Raw genomic sequence first — 23,130 nt, 5'->3', positions numbered from 1 at the left:
TTTTTGAGGTACATAAACAATGATATATGAAACTTCTAGATTGCTAGTGCATTCTAGGTTCCAGTTCTACACAGGACTAAAAATACCCTTTAAGTGAAGTCTAAGTCATAAGGGTGACTCTCAGAAAAATACAAAACAAAATAGAAAGAAATAAAGGTGAATCAATAAAAAGGAAGTCAAACTGTCACTGTCTGCTGATGATATGATCGTGCACCTAGAAAATCCTAAAGACTCCTCCAAAAAGCTCCTAGGACTGATAAGCAAATTCAGCAAAGTTTCCAGATAGAAAATGAATGTACACAGATCAGTAGATCTGCTATACACCAACAGCGACCAACCTGATAATCAAATCAAGAACAAAACCCCGTTTACAATAGCTGTAAAAAAATAAAATAAAATAAAACACTTAGGAATATACCTAACCAAGGAGGTGAAAGACCTCTACAAGGAAAACTACATAACACTTCTGAAAGACATCATAGATGACACAAACAAATAGAAACACATCCCATGCTCACAGATTGGTAGAATCAATATTGTGAAAAATGATTATAGTGCCAAGAGCAATCTACAATTTCAATGCAATTCCCATCAAAACAGCACCATTATTCTTCACTGAACTAGAAAAAACAATCCTAAAATTCACATGGAACAAAAAAAGAATCCGATGGCCAGTGTAAGGCTAAGTAAAAAGAACGAATTTGGAGGCATCACATTAGCTGATTTCAAACTATACTATAAGGCTATAGTCACCAAAACAGCGTGGTACTGGAATAAAAATAGGCACATAGACCAATGGAACACAGTAGAGAACCCAGAAATAAACCCAAATATTTACCACCAACTGACCTTCAACAAAGCAAACAAAAACATAAAATGGGGAAAGGAGACCATATTCAACAAATGGTGCTGGGATAATTGGCAGATCATATGTAGGAGAAAGAAACTGGATTCTCATCTCTAATCTTATACAAAAATCAACTCAAGATGGATCAAGGACTTACATCTAAGACCTGAAACTACAACAATTCTAGAAGATGACATTGGAAAAACACTTCTAGACATTGGCTTAGGCAAAGATTTCATGACCAAAAACCCAAAAGCAAATGCAATAAAAACAAAGATAAATATGTGGTACTTCATTAAACTAAAATGCTTTTGCCTGGCAAAACAACAGTCAGCAGAGTAAACAGACAATCCACAGAGTGGGAGAAAATTTTCACAATCTATACATACAGCAAAGAACTAATATCCAGAATCTACAATAAACTAAAACAAATTAACAGGAAAAAAAGAAACAATCTCATCAAAAAGTGGGCTAAGGACATGAATAGACAATTCTCAAAAGAATGTATACAAATAGCCAACAAACCTATGAAAAAATGTTCAACTTCACTAAAGATCAGGGAAATGCAAATCAAAACCACAATGGAATACCACGTTACTCTCACAAGAATGGCCATAATCAAAAAATAAAAAAAAAATAGATATTGGCATGGATGTGGTGAAAAGGGAACACTTCTACACTGCTGGTGGAAATGTAAACTAGTACAACCACTGTGGAAAAGAGTGTGGAGAATCCTTGAAGAACTAAAAGGAGAACTAACATTTGATCCAGCAGTCCCACTACTGGGTATCTACCCAGGGGAAAATAAGTCATTATATGAAAAAGGTACTTGCAAATGCATTTTTGTAGCAGCACAATTCGAAATTGCAAAAATGTGGAACCAGCCAAATGCCCATGAATCAATGAATGGATAAAGAAACTGTGGTATATGTATATGATGGAATACTACTCAGCCATAAAAAGAAATGACTTAATGGCATTCACAGCAATCTGGATAGGGTTGGAGTCTATTATTCTAAGTGAAGTGATTCAGGAATGGAAAACCAAACATTATATGTTCTCAGTCATAAGTGGGAGCTAAGCTATGAGGATATAAAGGCATAAGAATGATACAATGGACTTTGGAGATCCAGGGGCAAAAGTGGGAAGAGGGTGAGGAATAAAAGACTACAAATTGGGTTCAGTGTATACTGCTCGGGCTTTGGGTGCACCAAAATCTAACTCATGTAACTGAATACCACCTGTTACCTAAAAACCTATGGAAATATTTTTTTAAAAGGGAGAAATGAACAAATTTTGATTTAGTGCTATGGAAAAAACTGTTATTTTTACTTTCGAACAACCTTTTCTAGTCAACAATAAACTTAAGGGATCACATGAAGTTCCATGAATAGCAACTAAAGTATAACATTGTTATGATTTTTTTCTTAATGTTTAGAATACATTACTTACATATCTCATTTGTTGGAAGGATTGTAATTTTCTATTTATTTCCTCTAATAGGATTAAGCTTGCGGAGATTTTGATTATTTTCTTATGCCAGTTTTTGTAGAATGCATTTATCAATAAATTTAGTTTTTTTGAATTATCAAATTTAGTAGCACAAATTTGTTCATAATATCCTCTCAGAATTGTTGAAGCTTTAAGTAAAAAAAACTAACAAGATATTACAAGGAAAAAACACTAGGGGTCTATATCTATCATGAAAATAGATTAGTACTAAAATATATTAACAGAATAAATCTAATGATATTTAAAATAGATAACATATTATTACCAAGTAGAGTTTATTCCAGGAATACATGATATGTAAGCAAATTTGTAGTTTTAAATACCTAGATTAGAAAAGAAAATTCATTGAAATTAATTATCTAAGTTTCTACTTTAAGAAAAGGAGATAATTTAACTCAAAATAAGTAGAAGGAAGGACACAATAAAGGTAATGGTGTGAATCAACTAAACAGAAAATAGGCAAAAAGTGAGAGAAATTAACAATTTCAAAATTTGTTTCTTTGAATAGGTTAATACAAATTTTAAAACACTAGCAAAATAAAAAGAGAAATTGTCAATATTAAAAATTCATGGAATTATTATTAAATATTTTGCAGAAATTCAAAAGACTTCAAGGGAATACAATAAGCAATTTTGTACTATGAATTTACCAACTTATGAAAACAAGAAATTTTTCAAAAAACATTTTACAAATGCAGACATAAATAAAAACCCAAATAGCCCCATATCCAGTTACTTATTTTAAAAATTTTGTTAAAACTTACCTTAAAAATAAAAACAAACAAAACCTCAAGAATCAGATATTTTTAGGTGCTGAATACTCTTAAACATTTAAGAAACTATTACACTAAGGCTTTAAGAAAACATAGGAAAAATTATATGTGCCAACATGCTTATTGAGGCCAGAATAACCTTGATATCAAAACCTGACAAAAACATTTAAAAAAAGAATAGAACAATTTTTATTGTTAGATGAGTGAGATTTGTTAATTTCTTGGATAATCCTAAGAAATAAAAATATAATATGTAACTTCCATGTTAGTAGAGAGGAAAAAAGACAGAATTGAGGAAAAATAGCCCAAGAGAAGGGAGAAAAACAAATGTAAAATAGATCAGAAGAAATAACAGAAATAACACAGAATATAAATACATTTCTCATTATAGCAAAAGTAAATTAATTGAATGTTGCATTTAAAAAATAAATCAAAATAAATGAAAAATCCAAGGCATAGTATATATTTCTATGAAATTTCACTTAATGCAATGATCTTAAAATATAAAAGAAGTAAAACCATTCTTGTAAACTGTATAAAATTAATCAGGAAAAAGGAGAGTGGGAGAAACAAAAATAAACCAAGCTTTCAGCACATTCAGCGTTAATCATTGGGTCATCTTGCTCTCTGACCTGCTTCCTCATAGCTGTTTGCTACCTAGTGCCCCTGAATCACATACACACTGTCAGAAGATTATAGTTCCCCTTAACTGCTCTTAGAGATAACAACTTGAACATTATGACACATTAAGTCTTCCATTTGAGATATTCTTTTAGGTCTTGTATATCAGGGAAAGTACTGACATCACCTGCTCCTGGGGGCTAGTGCGGTGGCTCAAGCCTGTAATCCCAACACTTTGGAAGGCCGAGGCAGACAGATCACTTGAGGTTAGGAGTTTGAGACCAGCCTGGCCAACAATGTGAAACCCCTCTCTATTAAAAATACAAAAAGTAGCTGGGTGTGGTGGCGTGCACCTGTAATCCCAGCTACTCTGGAGGCTGAGGCAGAAGAATCGCTTGAATGCAGGAGGCAGAGGTTGCAGTGAGCTAAGATGATTCCACTGCACTCCAGTCTGTGCGACAGAGTGAGACTCCATCTCAAACAAACAAAAACAAAACAAAAAGCAAACAAACAAAAACCCCGTGAACTGACTCACCAAAAAACAAAAAACAAAACAAAACTAGTTTCCACATCCTGATGATTTCATCCTCCTTAAACTGACCAATCAACAACAAAAATCCCAATTTTCCAGCTCCTCACCATCCAGGAACCCCTTAAAAGCCCCAGCCCAGAACTCCTTGGGGAGATGAATTTGAGGGTTTCCTCCCATCTCCTTGCATGGCCATCCTGGGATGGTTAAACTCTTACTCTGCTTCAAACCCTGCTGCTGTGGTTTGTCTGTGTCCCCACCCAAATCTCATCTTCAATAAACCTTATTCCTTTATAAATTACCCAGTCTCCAGTAATATGTTTATAACAATGTAAGAAAAGACTAATAGACAAATACATCCTGCTGTCTCAGTGTATTGTTTTGTTATTGGGCTGCTGGTCTTGTAACAGCAGAGACTTAACAGATTTTTTTTAAAAGACAATTAATAGTGTGAAGAGCCCTCTCAAAGAACAAAGAGACAGAGATTTGAATATGGTTAGATATTTGACCGAAATGTTAATGAAACACCACACCAACAACCTTATTATTTTTATTATTTTGATATTTTCTGATATTGATTTTGTAGTAAATCTCAACCTATTTTGTACATATATATTAGCAGTATCTACCCAAAATTATATAAATTATGTAAGTTTATGCAGCACTGTATTTATGAATAGGAAAACTTACTGAATATATTCATAATTATTAATAGGAGAATTTCTCCTAGTAGCTATCACACCATAATTGTAGTATAATATATAGCATAATGTAATTTGGCTCAAGGCATAGAGAAAAATACAAATTGAACATAAAAAGAATGCTGAGACAGACCTGTGCATTTATGAATACTTTATATAAGTCTGAAGAGGCAATGCTAGCCACTGGTAAAGAACAAACTTTTTACAATAAATAGTTTTGACATAATTATAGCAAAATTGCTATCCAGTCACATAAAATCTATTTAGTCTTCCTTCTGGAACACAGGTTATATTCTCCAAATTTTCTGCATTTAGGTGTGGCTCTGAACATGTCTAAGCTAAGGAATATGAGCAAAATTAATGCATGTCGCTTATGACCTAAATTTTGGAAAGTATGGTAGTTTCAGCACATATTCTTTGTCTTTTTTTTTTTTTTTTTTTTTTTTTTTTTGCAGACCAGGTACAAAAAATGACAATACCCTAGAGAATAACTTAGCCACTTGAACCTCTTAATCAACATATGGAGAGAAACCTCATACTGACTTGTATAGGACTGATAATAGGAGAAATATTTTCAGAAACATGAAATTGAAGCAACAATACAATACAGTAACTTGATTAATAATTTTATAAAATAAACATTTGAGTCTCTGATTGTCCCAAGTTTTGGCAAAGATGTGAAACATTCATACTCTGCTGGTGGTAATATAAAATTGGTATAGCTAATTTGAACATTAATATAATGAATAAAAATGCTAGAAAATAATATAAATTAATAAAATGAACTAACAACACCTTCACACATTGTGGATTTATCCTAAACACAAGTTATTTACCATAGTAAAAAAAATTAAAGGAGTAAATACACTATAACTTTATATATTTTTGATATATATATGAACTATATTTATGTATATAGACATACTACAAAGAGACATAAGGGATATTGTTTAAAGATGCAGCTAAACAGTAAAACAATAATAAAAAACTATACGATGTTTATTCAAAAGTCAGGAGAGCATTTACTTCTAGAGAAATAAGAGGAAACACTGATTAGGGATGGGCAGAAAGGAGTGTCTTGAGGTGTTGGCAATATCTGTTTCTTATTGTGCATGACTGTTACTCAGGTATTTGCTTGATAATTACTTGTATAAGTTATACATGATTTTATGTGTTTTTGTGTGTATGATCTATCTCAAAAAATAATTTAATTGGGTAGATGAACATACATTTTCAAAGACTTTGTTAGCTGTGTCTGCTATCAAGGATATTATCTTCTGACTGTCAAATGGCTGAGAAGTAAACTGTAATCAGGGTGTTGATTCCCAAGAATGAAAAGAAAAAATGGAATAGGCTTTGGTTGTGGGGAAAAAATCACCATAAAATCTTGTTAAGTTATTGACAGGATTATTTGTGCCTACCAATTGCAACATTTTATTGGGAATTGTTAATGGATAAGCACTGATGAGTTTCCTAGATGCTATCTATACCATGGTACCTTCTGTTTAAGTATTTTTTATACATCTTCCTGTTGCTTATATCCAGATTTAAGGATATATCTTACCAAATTGATGACATTGAGTAGCACTCATACCCTCATAAAGAAATTCATTTATATGCAATGTTCTAGTGTCAGTTAATTCTTCAGATGGCTGATGCATTCCTTATGATGACCTTCGAAATCACAACTGATTGGATTAGAAGTGGGCATTTGACTCAAGCCATTTAATACATAAGAGGCAGTCTATGCACCCTAAAGCCGAGGATTCTGAACAATATTAGTCTGTTTTTACAAGGCCCAAATGATCTTTACTCACATAATTTTGAAATTGGAATATAAAAGAATGAGATTGAAATAAGAAGCAGAAGCAAAGAGATAATGAGATTAGTTGCTGAGATTTACCAATATGAAAAAGTGTTGGAATAAAAATGTTGATTGAGAGACATGCCAAGTGGTAACTAAAAGATCTGTCAAGTTCCAGGCAAAATCATACTTACATCAATTCATTATCATCATGTGATAAAATCTAAATTATTGGTCTAAGTGTATAATGGGGTGGTTCTAAAACTATCTTTTCCTTTGTTACTAAAACACTTAAAATGATTTGTGTTTATAAACATGACCAAGTACCATGAGTAAATTTTTAATAAGTAGTAGCTATGATATCATGTCTCAGAATCATCTCAATAATTTGGAATCACTATAATTGTACTTTGAAAGGAACAATAAAAATTCAAATAAGCCTTGAAAATCGGATGAGAAAAAAATATAAGAAATAAAATATTAGGTCTGCTTGGTGCAGAGCTGAGTTCAATTCCTGGATACCTTTGTTAACTTTCTGTCTCGTTGATGTGTCTAATGTTGACAGTGGGGTGTTAAAGTCTCCCATTATTATTGTGTGGGAGTCTAACTCTCTTTCTAGGTCTCTAAGGACTTGCTTTATGAATCTGGGTGCTCCTGTATTGGGTGCATATATATTTAGGATAGTTAGCTCTTCTTGTTGAACTGATACTTTTACCATTGTGTAATGGCCTTATTTGTCTCTTTTGATCTTTGTTGGTTTAAAGTCTGTTTTATCAGAGACTAGGATTGCAACCCCTGCCATTTTCTGTTTTCCATTTGCTTGGTAAATCTTCCTCCATCCCTTTATATTGAACCTATGTGTGTCTCTGCATGTGAGATGGGTTTCCTGAATACAGCGCACTGACGGGTCTTGACCTAATAGGCATCTACAGAACTCTCCACCCCAAATCAACAGAGTATACATTCTTCTCAGCACCACACGGCACTTATTCCAAAATTGACCACATAGTTGGAAGTAAAGCACTCCTCAGCAAATGGAAAAGAACAGAAATTATAACAAAGTGTCTCTCAGATCACAGTGCAATCAAACTACAACTCAGGATTAAGAAACTCACTCAAAACCGCTCAACTACATGGAAACTGAACAAACTGCTCCTGAATAACAACTGGGTACCTAACGAAATGAAGGCAGAAATAAAGATGTTCTTTGAAACCAACAAGAACAAAGACACAACATACCAGAATCTCTGGGATACATTCAAAGCAGTGTGTAGAGGGAAATTTATAGCACTAAATGCCCACAAGAGAAAGCAGGAAAGATCTAAAATTGACACCCTAACATCACAATTAAAAGAATTAGAGAGGCAAGAGCAAACACATTCAAAAGCTAGCAGAAGGCAAAAAATAACTAAGATCAGAGAAGAACTGAAGGAAATAGAGACACAAAAAACCCTTCACAAAAAACCTGAATCCAGGAGCTGGTTTTTTGAACAGATCAACAAAATTGATAGAATGCTAGCAAGACTAATAAAGAAGAAAAAAGGGAAGAATCAAATAGATGCAATAAAAAATGATAAAGGGGATATCACCACCGATCCCACAGAAATACAAACTACCATCAGAGAATACTATAAATATCTCTATGCAAATAAACTAGAAAATCTAGAAGAAATGGATAAATTCCTCGACACATACACCCTCCCAAGACTAAAACAGGAAGAAGTTGAATCTCTGAATACACCAATAAAAGGCTCTGAAATTGAGGCAATAATTAATAGCTTACCAACCAAAAAAAGTCCAGGACCAGATGGATTCACAGCCGAATTCTACCAGAGGTACAAGAAGGATCTGGTACCATTCCTTCTGAAACTATTACAATCAATAGAAAAAGAGGGAATCCTCCCTAACTCATTTTATGAGGCCAGCATCATCCTGATACCAAAGCCTGGAAGAGACACAACAAAAAAAGAGAATTTTAGACCAATATCCCTGATGAACATCTATGCAAAAATCCTCAATAAAATACTGGCAAACTGAATCCAGCAGCACATCAAAAATCTTATCCACCATGATCAAGTGGACTTCATCCCTGGGATGGAAGGCTGGTTCAACATACGCAAAACAATAAACGTAATCCAGCATATAAACAGAACCAATGACAAAAACCATTTGATTATCTCAATTGATGCAGAAAAGGCCTTTGACAAAATTCAACAACACTTCATGCTAAAAACTCTCAATAAATTACCTATGGAGGGGACGTATCTCAAAATAATAAGAGCTATCTATGACAAACCCACAGCCAATATCATACTGAATGGGCGAAAACTAGAAGCATTCCCTTTAAAAACTGGCACAAGACAGGGATGCCCTCTCTCACCACTCCTATTCAACATAGTGTTGGAAGTTCTGACCAGGGCAATCAGGCAGGAGAAGGAAATAAAAGGTATTCAATTAGGAAAAGAGGAAGTCAAATTGTCCCTATTTGCAGATGACATGATCGTATATCTAGAAAACCCCATTGTCTCAGCCCAAAATCTCCTTAAGCTGATAGGCAACTTCAGCAAAGTCTCAGGAAACAAAATCAATGTGCAAAAAATCACAAGCATTCATATACACCAATAACAGACAAACAGAGAGCCAAATCATGAGTGAACTCCCATTCACAATTGCTTCAAACAGAATAAAATACCTAGGAATCCAACTTACAAAGGATGTGAAGGACCTCTTCAAGGAGAACTACAAACCACTGCTCAATGAAATAAAAGAGGATACAAATAAATGGAAGAACATTCTATGCTCATGGGTAGGAAGAATTAATATCATGAAAATGGCCATACTGCACAAGGTAATTTATAGATTCAATGCCATCCCCATCAAGCTACCAATGACTTTTTTCACAGAATTGGAAAAAACTATTTTAAAGTTCATATGGAACCAAAAAAAGGCCCGCATCACCAAGTCAATCCTAAGCCAAAAGAACAAACCTGGAGGCATCACACTACCTGACTTCAAACTATACTACAAGACTACCGTAACCAAAACAGCATGGTACTGGTACCAAAACAGAGATATAGATCAATGGAACAGAACAGAGCCCTCAGAAATAATGCCGCGTATCTACAACTATCTGATCTTTGACAAACCTGACAAAAAACAAGCAACGGGGAAAGGATTCCCTATTTAATAAATGGTGCTGGGAAAACTGGCTAGCCATATGTAGAAAGCTGAAACTGGATCCCTTCATTACGCCTTATACAAAAATTAATTCAAGATGGATTAAAGACCTAAATGTTAGACCTAAAACCATAAAAACCACAGAAGAAAACCTAGGCAATACTATTCAGGACATAGGCATGGGCAAGGACTTCATATCTAAAACACCAAAAGCAATGGCAACAAAAGCCAAAATTGACAAATGGGATCTAATTAAACTAAAGAGCTTCTGCACAGCAAAAGAAACTACCATCAGAGTGAACAAGCAACCTACAGAATGGGAGAAAATTTTTGCAACCTACTCATCTGACAAAGGGCTAATATCCAGAATCTACAATGAACTCAAACAAATGTACAAGCAAACCCCATCAAAAAGTGAGTGAAGGATATGAACAGACACTTCTCAAAAGAAGACATTTATGCAGCCAAAAGACACATGAAAAAATGCTCACCATCACTGGCCATCAGAGAAATGTAAATCAAAACCACAATGAGATACCATCTCACTCCAATTAGAATGGCGATCATTAAAAAGTCAGGAAAGGACAGGTGCTGGAGAGGATGTGGAGAAATAGGAACACTTTTACACTGTTGGTGGGACTGTAAACTAGTTCAACCATTGTGGAAGTCAGTGTGGCAATTTCTGAGGGATCTAGAACTGAAAATACCGTTTGACCCAGCAATCCCATTACTGGGTATATAACCAAAAGATTCTAAATCATGCTGGTGTAAAGACACATGCACACGTATGTTTATTGTGGCACTAATCACAATAGCAAAGACTTGGAACCAACCCAAATTTCCAACAATGATAGACTGGATTAAGAAAATGTGGCACATATACACCATGGAATACTATGCATCCATAAAAAATGATGAGTTCATGTCCTTTGTAGGGACATGGATGAAGCTGGAAACCATCTTTCTCAGCAAACTGTCACAAGGACAAAAAACCTAACACCTCATGTTCTCACTCATAGGTGGGAATTGAACAATGAGAACACATGGACACAGGAAGGGGAACATCACACTCCGGGGCGTGTTGTGGAGTGGGGGAAGGGGGGAGGGATAGCATTAGGAGATATACCTAATGTTAAATGATGGGTTAATTGGTGCAGCACAGCAACATGGCGCATGTGTACATATGTAACTAACCTGCATGTTCTGCACATGTACCCTAAAACTTAAAGTATAAAAAAAAAGAAATAAAATATGACACCACTATATGCCCTAAAGATATTAAAAACATAATTGGCATATTGGCAATTGTTAATTATACGTCAATATTTTAAAAAATAGATTAACAATTTGATTTCATCGAAATTGATACAAATGAATTGTATGTCTGTTAAAGACCAGGGCAGCGTATATAATTCATGGAGTCCAGTTCAAAATGAAAATGCAAGATTCCATGTTCAAAAAGAAGGAAAAAGTGTCATTATAGGTACTAAAATATCATACCTTTTCTACTTGTCATGATGGCTTTTAATTTGCTGTTGAAGTCTGTGCCATCTTTATCATGACAATACTGCTGGGGCAGGTGCAGATCCTCAGATGCCCCCACATGGACCTACTCTGTAACTTGAAATGCACACACATACACAGCCCACTGACTGCCAGCTTTCTCCTCCTGCCAGCGACTAGTTAACACCCTTGGCAATCCCCTTCCCCAAGTTCTCACTGCCCCAACCAGGGTGATCCAGTGAACCCTAATGGATTATATTGTTAAAGCTGGACACATTCAGTAATTTGATGAGAGTCAGTTGAGTGGTTTTTCCATGATGAGCCTGTAAACATCCTGTGGTGCTGTACAAGGGCAGGCAAATACATTAATAGAATAGCGTACAGAGTACAGGAACAGATTCACACATATACAATTACTTGAGTTATGAAAGAAGTCACTACACTTCAGGGGAAAAAGTATAGTCTTTTTATACTTTTTCAGATCAACTGACTGCAATGTAGTCTACCCTCCATATCTGGAGGTTTTGAACCTGAGAATTCATCTAACAGCTAATAAAAAATATTTGGGATAAAAACAATAAAAATAGAAATAAAACAATAAAAATAATACAAATTAAAAAAATATAGTATAACAACTATTTATATAGCATTGACATTGTATTTGATATTATAATCTAATATGAGATTATCATAAATAATCTAGAGATAATTTAAAGTATATGGGAGGATGTGCGCAGGTTATATGTAAACACTAACTCATTTTATATAAGGACTTGAGCATCTTTGGTTTTTAGTATCTGTGGGGATTCCTGGAACCAATCCCCTACTAGTACTGAGGAATGACTGTATTGGAAAAATTGAATCTTGGTCCTTGCCTCAAATTTTAAATAAAAATGAACTCTGGCTCTTACAATATAACATTAGAGAATATCTCCATAGGCTTGGAGCAAGCAAAAATTTCTTAAACATGGTAAAAGGCTCAAACCATTAGCAAAAATATTGATAAATTGGACTTTGTTAAGAAATAGGAAAGTTTGCCTAATAAAGATATTATTAAGAAATTAAAAGGCACATCTCAGAGTGGGGAGAAGACGTGCAATATCTGACACACTACTCATTCAGAAGATATACATGTCTCTTCTAAACTAATAAGGAAAAAAACAGAAGCTCAAATTTGATTTCTTTATAGATTTTTTTCTTTTTTTTGAGGCGGAGTTTCACTCTTGTTGTCCAGGCTCCAGGCTGGAGCGCAATGGAGCAATGTCAGCTCACTGCAACCTCCGCCTCCCGGGTTCAAGCGATTCTCCTGACTCAGCCTCCCGAGTAGCTGGGATTACAGGCACCCGCCACCACATCCGGCTAATTTTTGTATTTTTGAGTAGAGACGAGCTTTCACCAAGTTGGCCAGGCTGGTTTCAAATGCCTGGCCTTAGGTGATCCACCTGCCTCGGCCTCCCAAAGTGCTGAGATTACAGGCATGAGTCACCACGCCCGGCCCTCTTTATAGATTTTAAACAGGCATTTTAATAGATATGCAGATAACCCATTATATGAAAAGGTGACCAATTTTATTTACTATTAATGAAATGAAAATGAAAAGTATGATAAGATACTTTTGAATACTCCCTACAATAGCTTATATAATCTTAAAAATTCCACAATATCCGTTGTTAGTTAAGAGTAATATACTGTTGATAGAATTGTAAATTAGTAAAACTACTTTGGAAGATTGTTTTAATTGATATGCTAATATTTCACAATTCCCATCCTAGATATATAACTACCAGAAACACATACCTATGTACACTAAAAGAATGTTCATAGCAACAATGTAATATTTTCAAACTTGTAGGGAGGGCATATGTTGTAGAATTAATAAATAAATTCGGTACACTCATTAATGGAATATTTGAAAACAAGTAAACAACTTGTTGCTACATGCAGAAACATCGATGAATCTCACTCATCTCAAATACGTCAAACATAAAAGAGTGCATATCAATTGATATAAAGTTCACCATTGGTGATAGAACTAAGCATAGTGATTACTCAGTGGGAGATGGGGGTGAACGGAGAATGGGAAGTAGGGAGCTTCCTGGGTGCTAGTACTGTTCTATATGTTAATCTGGTTGTTGATTTCTTGGGTATTTTCATAGAATAATATTACACACACTAAAGAAGAGACAGGTAAAATGAGGAGAAAAATTTATAAAAGTAATAGATATGTAGAAAAATAATGAGAAGACCTCACATATATCTAATAAGAAATTGAGGAGAGAAGGATAGAAAGGAAGGCAAAAAGACTATGTTAAGAGAAATAGTGACAAAATTGTGATGAGATAATTTATTATTTCTATTCAAAGAAAAATTGAAATCACATCTTATACATAGTATCAATTCTCAGTGTACGAAAAACTATAATGATGAAAAACAAACTTTGAAACATTTAGAAGAAAATATATAAGACCTCTGATTTGGAAATATTTTTTGGCCAAAAATATTTTTGTTTAAAGAAGGACTGAAAAACACAGCAGTAAAAGAAAATGATTATTAAAATCTACGACATTAAAAGTAAAAAATGTCTCCTCAGCAAGGACTTACATGTGAAAAACAGTGATTGGCTGTAAAAAGATATTTTCAACAGATTAAACCAACAAAAGTTTGGTATCCTAAATGTGTAAAGAATTTTTGCATGCCAATTTGAAATAAAGTAATGGACTATCCAATACAAAAATACACAAGACATGCAGAACACAAAATCATAGAATAGAAAACATAAACAAACCAGAAATATGTGAGAAAATGGATCCCTGACAATTTTTAAGAAGTAACTTTACGACCTCTGAGCTACTTAACTCTAGATTTCTTTTACTCTTTTGATATGATCGGTTGTTAAATTTTTCTAATTGATGTACCCAATTCTACTCTTGAGAACACATGTAATTATGTAACAATAATTTAAAGAATTTATGGAATTTATTAACCTCTATTTATCTCTCCCACTCATTCACTGGAGGATTCAATGGAATCTGTAATATTCCAGTTTTTAAAAAAAAAAACAGAGTAAATAATGCATAATACAAAATTTGACAAAGTGGACAGTAAGGGTGGTAGCTTTTTATTGTCTTTTTATTACCCTACAGCTTTCTGTATTCTTGAAACAGATCATAATAAATTAATACCAACATTAAAACAGATTATAATATTGAAAAAAATAAGGGAAGAAGAAGACAAATGTGTTGCGCCAATTTTACCCCTGCCAAAACCTGATTACAGGAACTATACAAGTTCAAATGTGTCAAAAGATAAAAAATTATAATTAGTATTCCTATCGATTCTTCACAACTCTTTAGCAGAGTCTGCCTATTTTAACTGTTGTATTTGTAATGCAGACTGTGCCTTGACAGACACTAACAAAAGTAAATCAGCAAACTGATTCTCCTTCTTCTTTTTCAACCTTAGGCTCCAGGCAATCAAAGAAACTATGAACATCTGCCTGGATTCTGATTGCACTGTTCACTGATTCAGTGCACCCAAATAAGCAACAATTAGTCTGTTCAGCATGTGTCAAAAGACCCGTCAAGTTAATTCAAATTAGGACAGGATAAATTGAATCCAGTTGGCATCTTGCATATTTGTGTGCAAAGTTTAAACAAGCATCAACTGTACTATGTTATCTTTTATTTACAAGCAAAACAAGAGCATATTGTTACGTAATTCCAGAAATAACCCTTTCTCACCATAATTTTGCTTACCTCATTTTCTAGATGTATTTTCTTGGGTTGGAACAATTTTTAATGTATTTGAGCAGACTTTTGTATTGAATCTGGTTAAAATAATATCTGCCTTCTTATACGCATTCATTTTATTTCCAATAATTAGCTCCAAGGTACAAAAATGGGTTTCAAAGATTGAGATGTGTAAAAATTATGCTTATAAGTATGAGCTCTCTTTGGTCAAAATTAGGCATTTATTTCTTAAATTTTTAGAAAATGTTAATGCCTTTAAGTGGTCAGGTGATAGATTTTCAACTTACTTATTGAATAGCAATCTGCAGTATCAATTACCTTTGTACCTTTAAACTGAATCAGAGTATCTGAATATTTAGAGAAATAAACTTTGAGGAACCTGACAAGCTTACAGCAGAAAACAGAATGATTGCATTGGCATTAATTATCTTCTGTCCCATTTTTTTCATTTAGGAAAATATCTTCCTACAATGCCCCATGTTCCATCTCTGTTGATGTTTGGTTGGAGTAATGTAGATGGTCACCAAATATGTTGCACTATTGATTTTCAACGGAAGAGCTCCACAGTGCTATTATCTGTAAGTAATACTCCAGTTGAAACATAACTTTGCAAAAAAAAATAGAAAATTGATTTGCCAAGCTCTTAAATGTTTACTTTTAGTGACTCATATTCTCCCACTTTTGACATTTCACTAGTGAGAGAGGGAGAAGGAGGCTGTGAGAATCTGTGGTTCTGACTAAATATGGAAACAAGGAGAACTAAGAAAAGATGAGGATGAATTGTATCAACATCTAAGGAAATATAAAACAATATGGCCTATGATTTAGCAGAGAAAAAGTTTGAAATAACAACTAATGATCATTTACCAGGATGCTTGCAGGTTTGGAGATCAGCGAATGTTTGCCAGAATGCTTGGGGTCTAACAGATCTCCACTTCCACAAAATAGAAATACATACTCTGGTTCATATGGGCTAGGGCGTTAGAGAGACTTCTCCCCTTCTTTTCTTCTAATTTGAATATCAAATAAACACTAGGTTGGAAAAAGGCACTGCCTGGCAGGATGAGACTTTGTGTGTGTGCGTGTGTGTGTGTGTGTGTGTATATATATATATATATATATATACACACACACATATATATACACATACACATATATATACGCATCCACATACATACACACCTATAACACACACACATATATATAGATACATGCACATATATGTGTGCATGTGTATTAATATAAGTTTCATCTGTTAAAATCGACATTGAAGAAAAAATATAAGAAGAAATACTAACATAATTCCCAAATGGTTAAAATATGCCAATAGAGGCTTTCTGCTAAAATCTGCTATTAGCAGGAACCTTGGGACTATTTCCAGTAGCTGTAGCCTGGAGCAGAATTTTCTGCCTTTAAAGAGGCCTAGTGCAGCAGGTTAGATGTCTGCTTTTAGTGTGATAAGGCAAAGATTTCCTTTGTATGGAATTATCTGATACTAACACTGTGTGTGTGTGTGTGAGTGTGTGCATAACATTTTCATCACATCATTGGGTGCCTATGTGAAGATCCAACCAGAGAAATATGGAAATTCAGTTACATTGAATTTTATTGAATATCCAGTTTCAGCTCAAAAGTTCTTCAATCATTGCTTATTTTCAAGCCACATAATCTTTTATTTACCTCATCTTTTATTTTAAGAAACTTGTGGAGTGTCATGTTAGTTTGGACTCTCCCATGAAGATGCTATTACACCTCCTAGAAGAAAAATACATAATCTGATTGTTTTCATTAGAATTATGTGACTTTAAGAAATGTGAGTCTTTAGTTACTAGGATGAGTATACATAGTTCTAATCAGTATGTTGTCAGATTTATTCAGGCACTATTTTATTTTATTTATTTTTTATTATTATACTTTAAGTTCTAGGGTACATGTGCACAACGTGCAGGTTTGTTACATATGTATACATGTGCCATGTTGGTGTGCTGCACCCATTTACTCTTTTAATGCTAAGCAGTAGAGTTCAGAACCAAAAGATGAGTTTAGAGATGAGTTTCACAAAGACATTTGTTTCTGATTTTAGTTTGAAGGTCACATTCATAGGCTTACTCTTTCACTCTTCTGAGAGACACCTCACTCCATCTGATTGGGTTGTGGAGAGGGGTGTTTCCTAATCATCCCAATGTTCCTGCTGAGAGCTGAATCTGCTCATCAATAATTTCTAAATACTAATGTCTGGAGGGTACTTACTCTGATGTTTGCCACACATTCACCCTTGCTTGCTTCAGAAATATTCGTGGGCCTTGGAGATGCTGGGCTAAGGTAAAGGAATAATATGGGAAGAGAAGAAATTATATAAACTTTTTTCTATTTTGTTATGTTCATCCAAATATATATACCCCTGCTTTGATAGCCGGTGTGATAGAAGCTCTTAAATCATCAGTCCATGAAAGGTCAAGAGAAAGTAGACCTGCAAGATATGTTTGCCCCTACTGAGCTCAGTTGCAAACAGAGCTATTCTGAAACACCGTTTCCATGAAGTGGGTAGAAAGGCTAAGGTGAATAAAGTACTCTCTTGTCTGTAAATCACTCTTCTGTACATTCTGTAAATTAGTCTTCTCCTGAGCTATTCCAGTCATGCAGGAGGGCGTGAATATACATAAGAGAAAGAGAAATGGATTGTATCTTGGGCAGGGATTTTAAAGGAAGCTGTGTGGATATTTAGCCTCTTCAAACCTCTTCTCCTTCTCTCAGTCTCTTTTTATCAGGACCTTGTGGGTATCCTTGTTTCTGTACTTATTTAATATTTATTTTGAACCTAAAAACAATAATTATATTTATCTCTATTATCATAGCCTTTATATTTTTTGTCCGATAGTTCAGTCTTCTAATCCTTTTAAGTTTATGTCATCAAAGATATTAGCTATCTCAACCGAAACTTTGTCAGCAAGAACTGCAGTAGCCACACCTTTATTCTCGACACAAAAATCACAATAAAAATGTTTGAACAGCCCTATGTCAAACTCAGAGTTTTTTGTCACAGCAAAAAAATCTTCATCTTAATTTAAGCTAAATTTACATAAAAACTCTAAAAATCAGTACTCTTTACAACTCTATTTTTTTAATAAACTATAACTATATATGTGGTCTATAAATTTATTTATTTATCTTGTCTACAAGTTTATCTTGCAAATGTTTATCGAATAACTAAAATGAAGAAACTCTCTCTGTGGGGGACATCTGCTCTTTGACCGGACAGATATCACTTGCCTGACTCCTTGATAAATGCCCTCGTGTGTTCCATCAGAGATTACTCCTTCCCCGTTTCTGTGGCACTGGAGAGCCTGTCAATCCAGGCCTTTCCTGCCACTCCCTCACCCTGCCAAGAGAATATGACCCAATCCAGTCCACTCTTCCAAGACTGGAATTTATTTTAGAAACTAATTTCAACTTATAAAAGTAACAGAAATCATGCACAAATTCTGTTCACCTAGATTTGCTAAGGGCACCACACTGGTTTAATCACTCATTCTCTAACTCTGCGGACATCAATATTTTTTTTAATTTCAGGAGTAAGTTGCAAAGACATTTAACACTACATACTTTGGTGTAATTTCCTAAAAAAAATCCCAGAACATTGTAGTACATAATCTCAGCAAAATTATAAAATTTCAGAAAATTAAGTGACTTATTAATTTTAATAATTTTAATATTTTTTAATAAATTAAAATTAATAAGTTTAACAATATTAATATTGTATTATATATATAATAATATAATAATATTATATAATATATATAATAAAATATAATAATATTATATAACCTACAAGCCTCATTAAAATGCCACCAATTATTCTGTGATCCAATCCAGTACCACATATTGCTTTACTTGTCTTGTCTCTTTAGTCTCATTTAATCTAGAATATTCCTCCTACATTTCTTTGTGATCTTACACTTTTGAAGAGTTCAGGGCAATTATTTTGTAGATTTCCCCATATTCCGAGTTGTCTGATTTTCTTTGTAATGAGATTCAGGTTAGGCTATTTGCCTGGATATTTGCCTGGATATTTGCCAGGAGGGCCACAGAATGTTGCAGTGTTCTTTCAACCACAACATGTCAGAAGGTGCACTATGTTGCTCCATTACTGGTAATATTAAATGTGATGACTTCCTTAACTTGGTGTCTGTCTTCTGTCTCCAATGTAAAATTACTAATAAGCATCTTGCAGGAAGATTCTTAAAAACTATGCAAATATTCTACTTTTATCATTCTTTTATCATTATATCATTAATAGAGGCATCCATTGATGATTGTTGTCTGAACAATTACTGCTTTTGTGGCCTCCAAATAATATTTTGTTTTATTTTTATCATGTTTTCTGCAAAAAATTCTCCATATCCATTTATTTGTAGATTGATTACAAATTAATACACACTAATCCTATTCTATGGATTATAATGTCACTATAATTATTATTGTTGCTCATATTCACCAGATTTGAGCAACAAAAATAATTTTGTGGGTGCAATGGGATCCTCTTCAAGCTGGCTTTCCTGTCCTTTTGACATGTTTTCATCACTTTTTGAGCACTTTTTAATTTTTTGCCACCACAATATTCTAGGATCATCTTTCAACCATTTATCGTCTTCTCTTTTATTAGAATGGGATATTATATATCTAACCATAAGTTCATATGATCCCTCTAATTTATATCGAACTGGATCATATTAATTCTGACCTGTTTTTCCTTTCCACATTTGCAATTCTGTTCTATAATATTGAGAATCCTGGCTCTCATATCCAAAAAGTACTTATTTACTTTCTTAATTTTAGAATATACATAAAATAGCTTCAGAATTTTTAGCCCATTGACAGATGAACTGTATATAATGCAGGCTAGTCCATTTAACTCACATTTAGAAATTGCACTCTGAAAAATTATTTTAAAACTTTGGGTAAAATTTAGTCCCTCTCACCCTCCTCAAAAATATCCTTAATAACTTCTAACTAGTGTTATCTCCCTTCCTAATTTTCTTTAAACTTTTTATATACACCTTTGCATCTTAACTGTATGAGTACACCTTGTTTTTCTACCTGTAGAGCAATATAATTCATCTCCTAAACTTATTCTTCCCTAAGAAACACAATTGACTGTTGACTATTTTCTTCACCATTGAAAAAGCCATCATTTAACAAGTAAAATGAGATATACAACAATATTTACCTGTAACCAAGTAATCTTCTAAAATAAACTTTGAAACATAAGTGGGCAAAATTAATTATTCATATCTTCCTAGAATATAATGACATCTCTCCAAAAACAAGCTTTTAAAAATTATTAGCATTAGCTATTATAATAATGTGTGACATTACATATTTCCAAAACTGGTTAACGTATATTGATAAATTATTCTACCTTTGAGTTGGCAGTGTTAAGTCACAGCAAAGCTCACTATAAAATAAAGCAAAACATCAGTATTTTTAGTGTCATGATTTTCCTTTTTCTGTAGTGTTGTGCTATATATTAAGTATTTGGAAAGGTGATAATCTCCATAGCAAGTTCTTCCCACTCCTCTGCCCAGATATCAGCTAAACAGTTGCTAAATGCTCTTAATTTTTTGCCCCACAGATTGAAAAGACCACTGCCTAGCTCTTGCATTTTACAGTGGAGCCCCAGAATGAATTTCTGAACACAAAAACAGAACCCCTAACCTAAGCCAAAGTCATGTTGTTTTTCCTTCTGTGCTCTTTAATTAAAGGTTTGAATTTTTATTGTTTAAATAGTAAAACTGATGAATATACGATAAACTAAAATTCCATTTGATTTCATGCAGATACTGAAATATCAGATGATACTGAAAATAATTGTGTGAACTATTCACCATCTGACTGGTATGTTCTTATAATAGTTTTATGAGATTGAATTTGATTCAAAGTACTTATAAACCTAAATTGCAATACACATATTTCCTTTACTGACCACAAGCTATGGGAAATAAATTAAACTAAGTTAATATCCAGAGATAAAATTACATTTTACAGGCATGAGTGCCATTTAGAGATATTGGATTCAGCGAATCTTTAAGAATGCTATCTTAACTGAAATGATAATAATATAGTACTCTAAGCAAACACTAAGATGAGTCAGTCAGTTCTACCTTGGTTGGATTGCAGACGAATTATCTAAGTTTTCTCTCACTTCAATTTGAAGCGTTAGGACAGTCTTCCTCTTTACGGAGGAAGCTGCCCTCAGGTGTCTTTAGCACTTATTGCTGTTAACAAGAATGTGGGCTACCTTAATCCACTGTCAAAAAAGATCAGAGAGAGATGGTACAGAGGACAAAGAGAAATGCATAAATATAGAAGAGGTTATCATTAAAATGAAAATTACAAATAGTGGATGCAATTTTGTGTAAATGAACTTTCAAATGAAAAACAAATATACCATTTCAAATAGAACATTTCAGGAAGCCAGTCACACAAAACATGACACGGAAAGATAATAACTTTTTTTTAATTTTTCTATCTCCTTATCTAGAATACTGGTTATTGACTAAGAGGTCTGAGTTATTAAGCATCAAGAGAGTTGAGCATGCTCTTGGCCTAAATAGATGGGCTCAGGTGAATTAGTATTATCTACTGAGCTTTTGACGTTTATGGGATATTAGTTGACAGATTGGCTTTATTATCAGATTGTTTTTAAAAACTGAGATGAAAAAATTGGCAAGCATAATATTCTTGGTCACTTCAGAGCTCATTTTAACACCTCCAGTCTTACTCATTAATGCTGACTTTGACCTTCAATCTAAAATTCTATGAGTCTATGAATCTTTCTCTTCATGATAAAATATAAAGCTGACCCTGTATTTCATCTTCTATGAAATATATTACTGCACACTGTGAAATGAAATTATTTTCACCTTATGATCATGATGATGATTTTCCTGATGTTAAGTTGCAAATTCTGGAGCAGAGACATTTGGGGCAGGAGTTTATGAGCAAATCTATTGATAGTTTAAAAAATCAGCAGAATAATTCAGATTAATAAAAAGCATTCTTTTTCACTTCATTTTTTCCTTTATACTTCCATCGTCCTTTGTTTGTAACCATACCACTATGCTTTACAGTCTTGTTTCACGACTTGAGTTGGATTTTTACGGAAAAAAAAAAAAACTTACATTTTTTCTTCTCTTATTCTATGTATGTATTTCAAAATAAATAACATGATTTAAACAAGAATAATATATTAATTGGAAACAATAAATGTCACGATGAAGGCATTACTCATTCCCCTTTTTTAAAGGCTTATTGATGCTATAGTGTTAAACAATTCCTAAAAATGTTTCATGCCTCAAATTATGAGCTGCAAGTTCCTGAGTTGGAATACTTTCCTGCCAGACTTTCATCTTTGGTGAGTATTTCCCAGTTGTTTCTGAAATTACTCCCTCTGAGGATATTGTTGAAATGTTGTATGCATTGCTGCTTGTCGAAGCCAAGAAATGATGCAGAGCTGCTCACATGAGTTCTTCTAATTGTTCTTGTACTAGCAACTGAGGAATTCCCACAGATAGGTTTATCATAACACTTTGTTAGCATTTTTGTATAACAACTGCCTTTTCATCCTAAGGAAACCCTGGAGGAAAATACAACATTCAGGAATAGGGTTTGAATATTAATTAATTGATGCTTCAAGTAGGAAGCTTTCTTTTTTAATCTTCTAAATGCACATAGTGAAATTTGTTTATAAAATTTAATTTAACCTTCTTTAAACTATACACAGTATGTAGATTTTTAGTGAAGCATTTCATTTGTATTTAATAATTTCACTTCAGAATTTTTTACTTTGTATCTGCTAAACTATAACATAAGTTTGGTGTTATCATTAATATTCCTAATCAATGTCTTCAAGGT

General features: G+C 33.6%; 1 long non-coding RNA gene across 1 annotated transcript; it reads left to right on the top strand.

Moving 5' to 3' along the window:
- Positions 1-15,674: 15,674 nt before the first annotated feature.
- On the top strand, positions 15,675-22,630 carry LOC112268286 (uncharacterized). The gene is made up of 3 exons (XR_002958661.2): positions 15,675-15,794; positions 21,054-21,111; positions 22,523-22,630. It is a non-coding gene; the product is annotated as an uncharacterized LOC112268286 (long non-coding RNA).
- The last annotated feature ends 500 nt before the right edge of the window (positions 22,631-23,130 follow it).

This window comes from Homo sapiens, chromosome 1 (assembly GCF_000001405.40).
Source record: "Homo sapiens chromosome 1, GRCh38.p14 Primary Assembly".
Taxonomy (NCBI): Eukaryota; Metazoa; Chordata; class Mammalia; order Primates; family Hominidae; genus Homo; species Homo sapiens.
The sequence above is the reverse complement of the archived record's forward strand: the minus strand, read 5'-3'. Positions and strand labels throughout refer to the sequence as shown.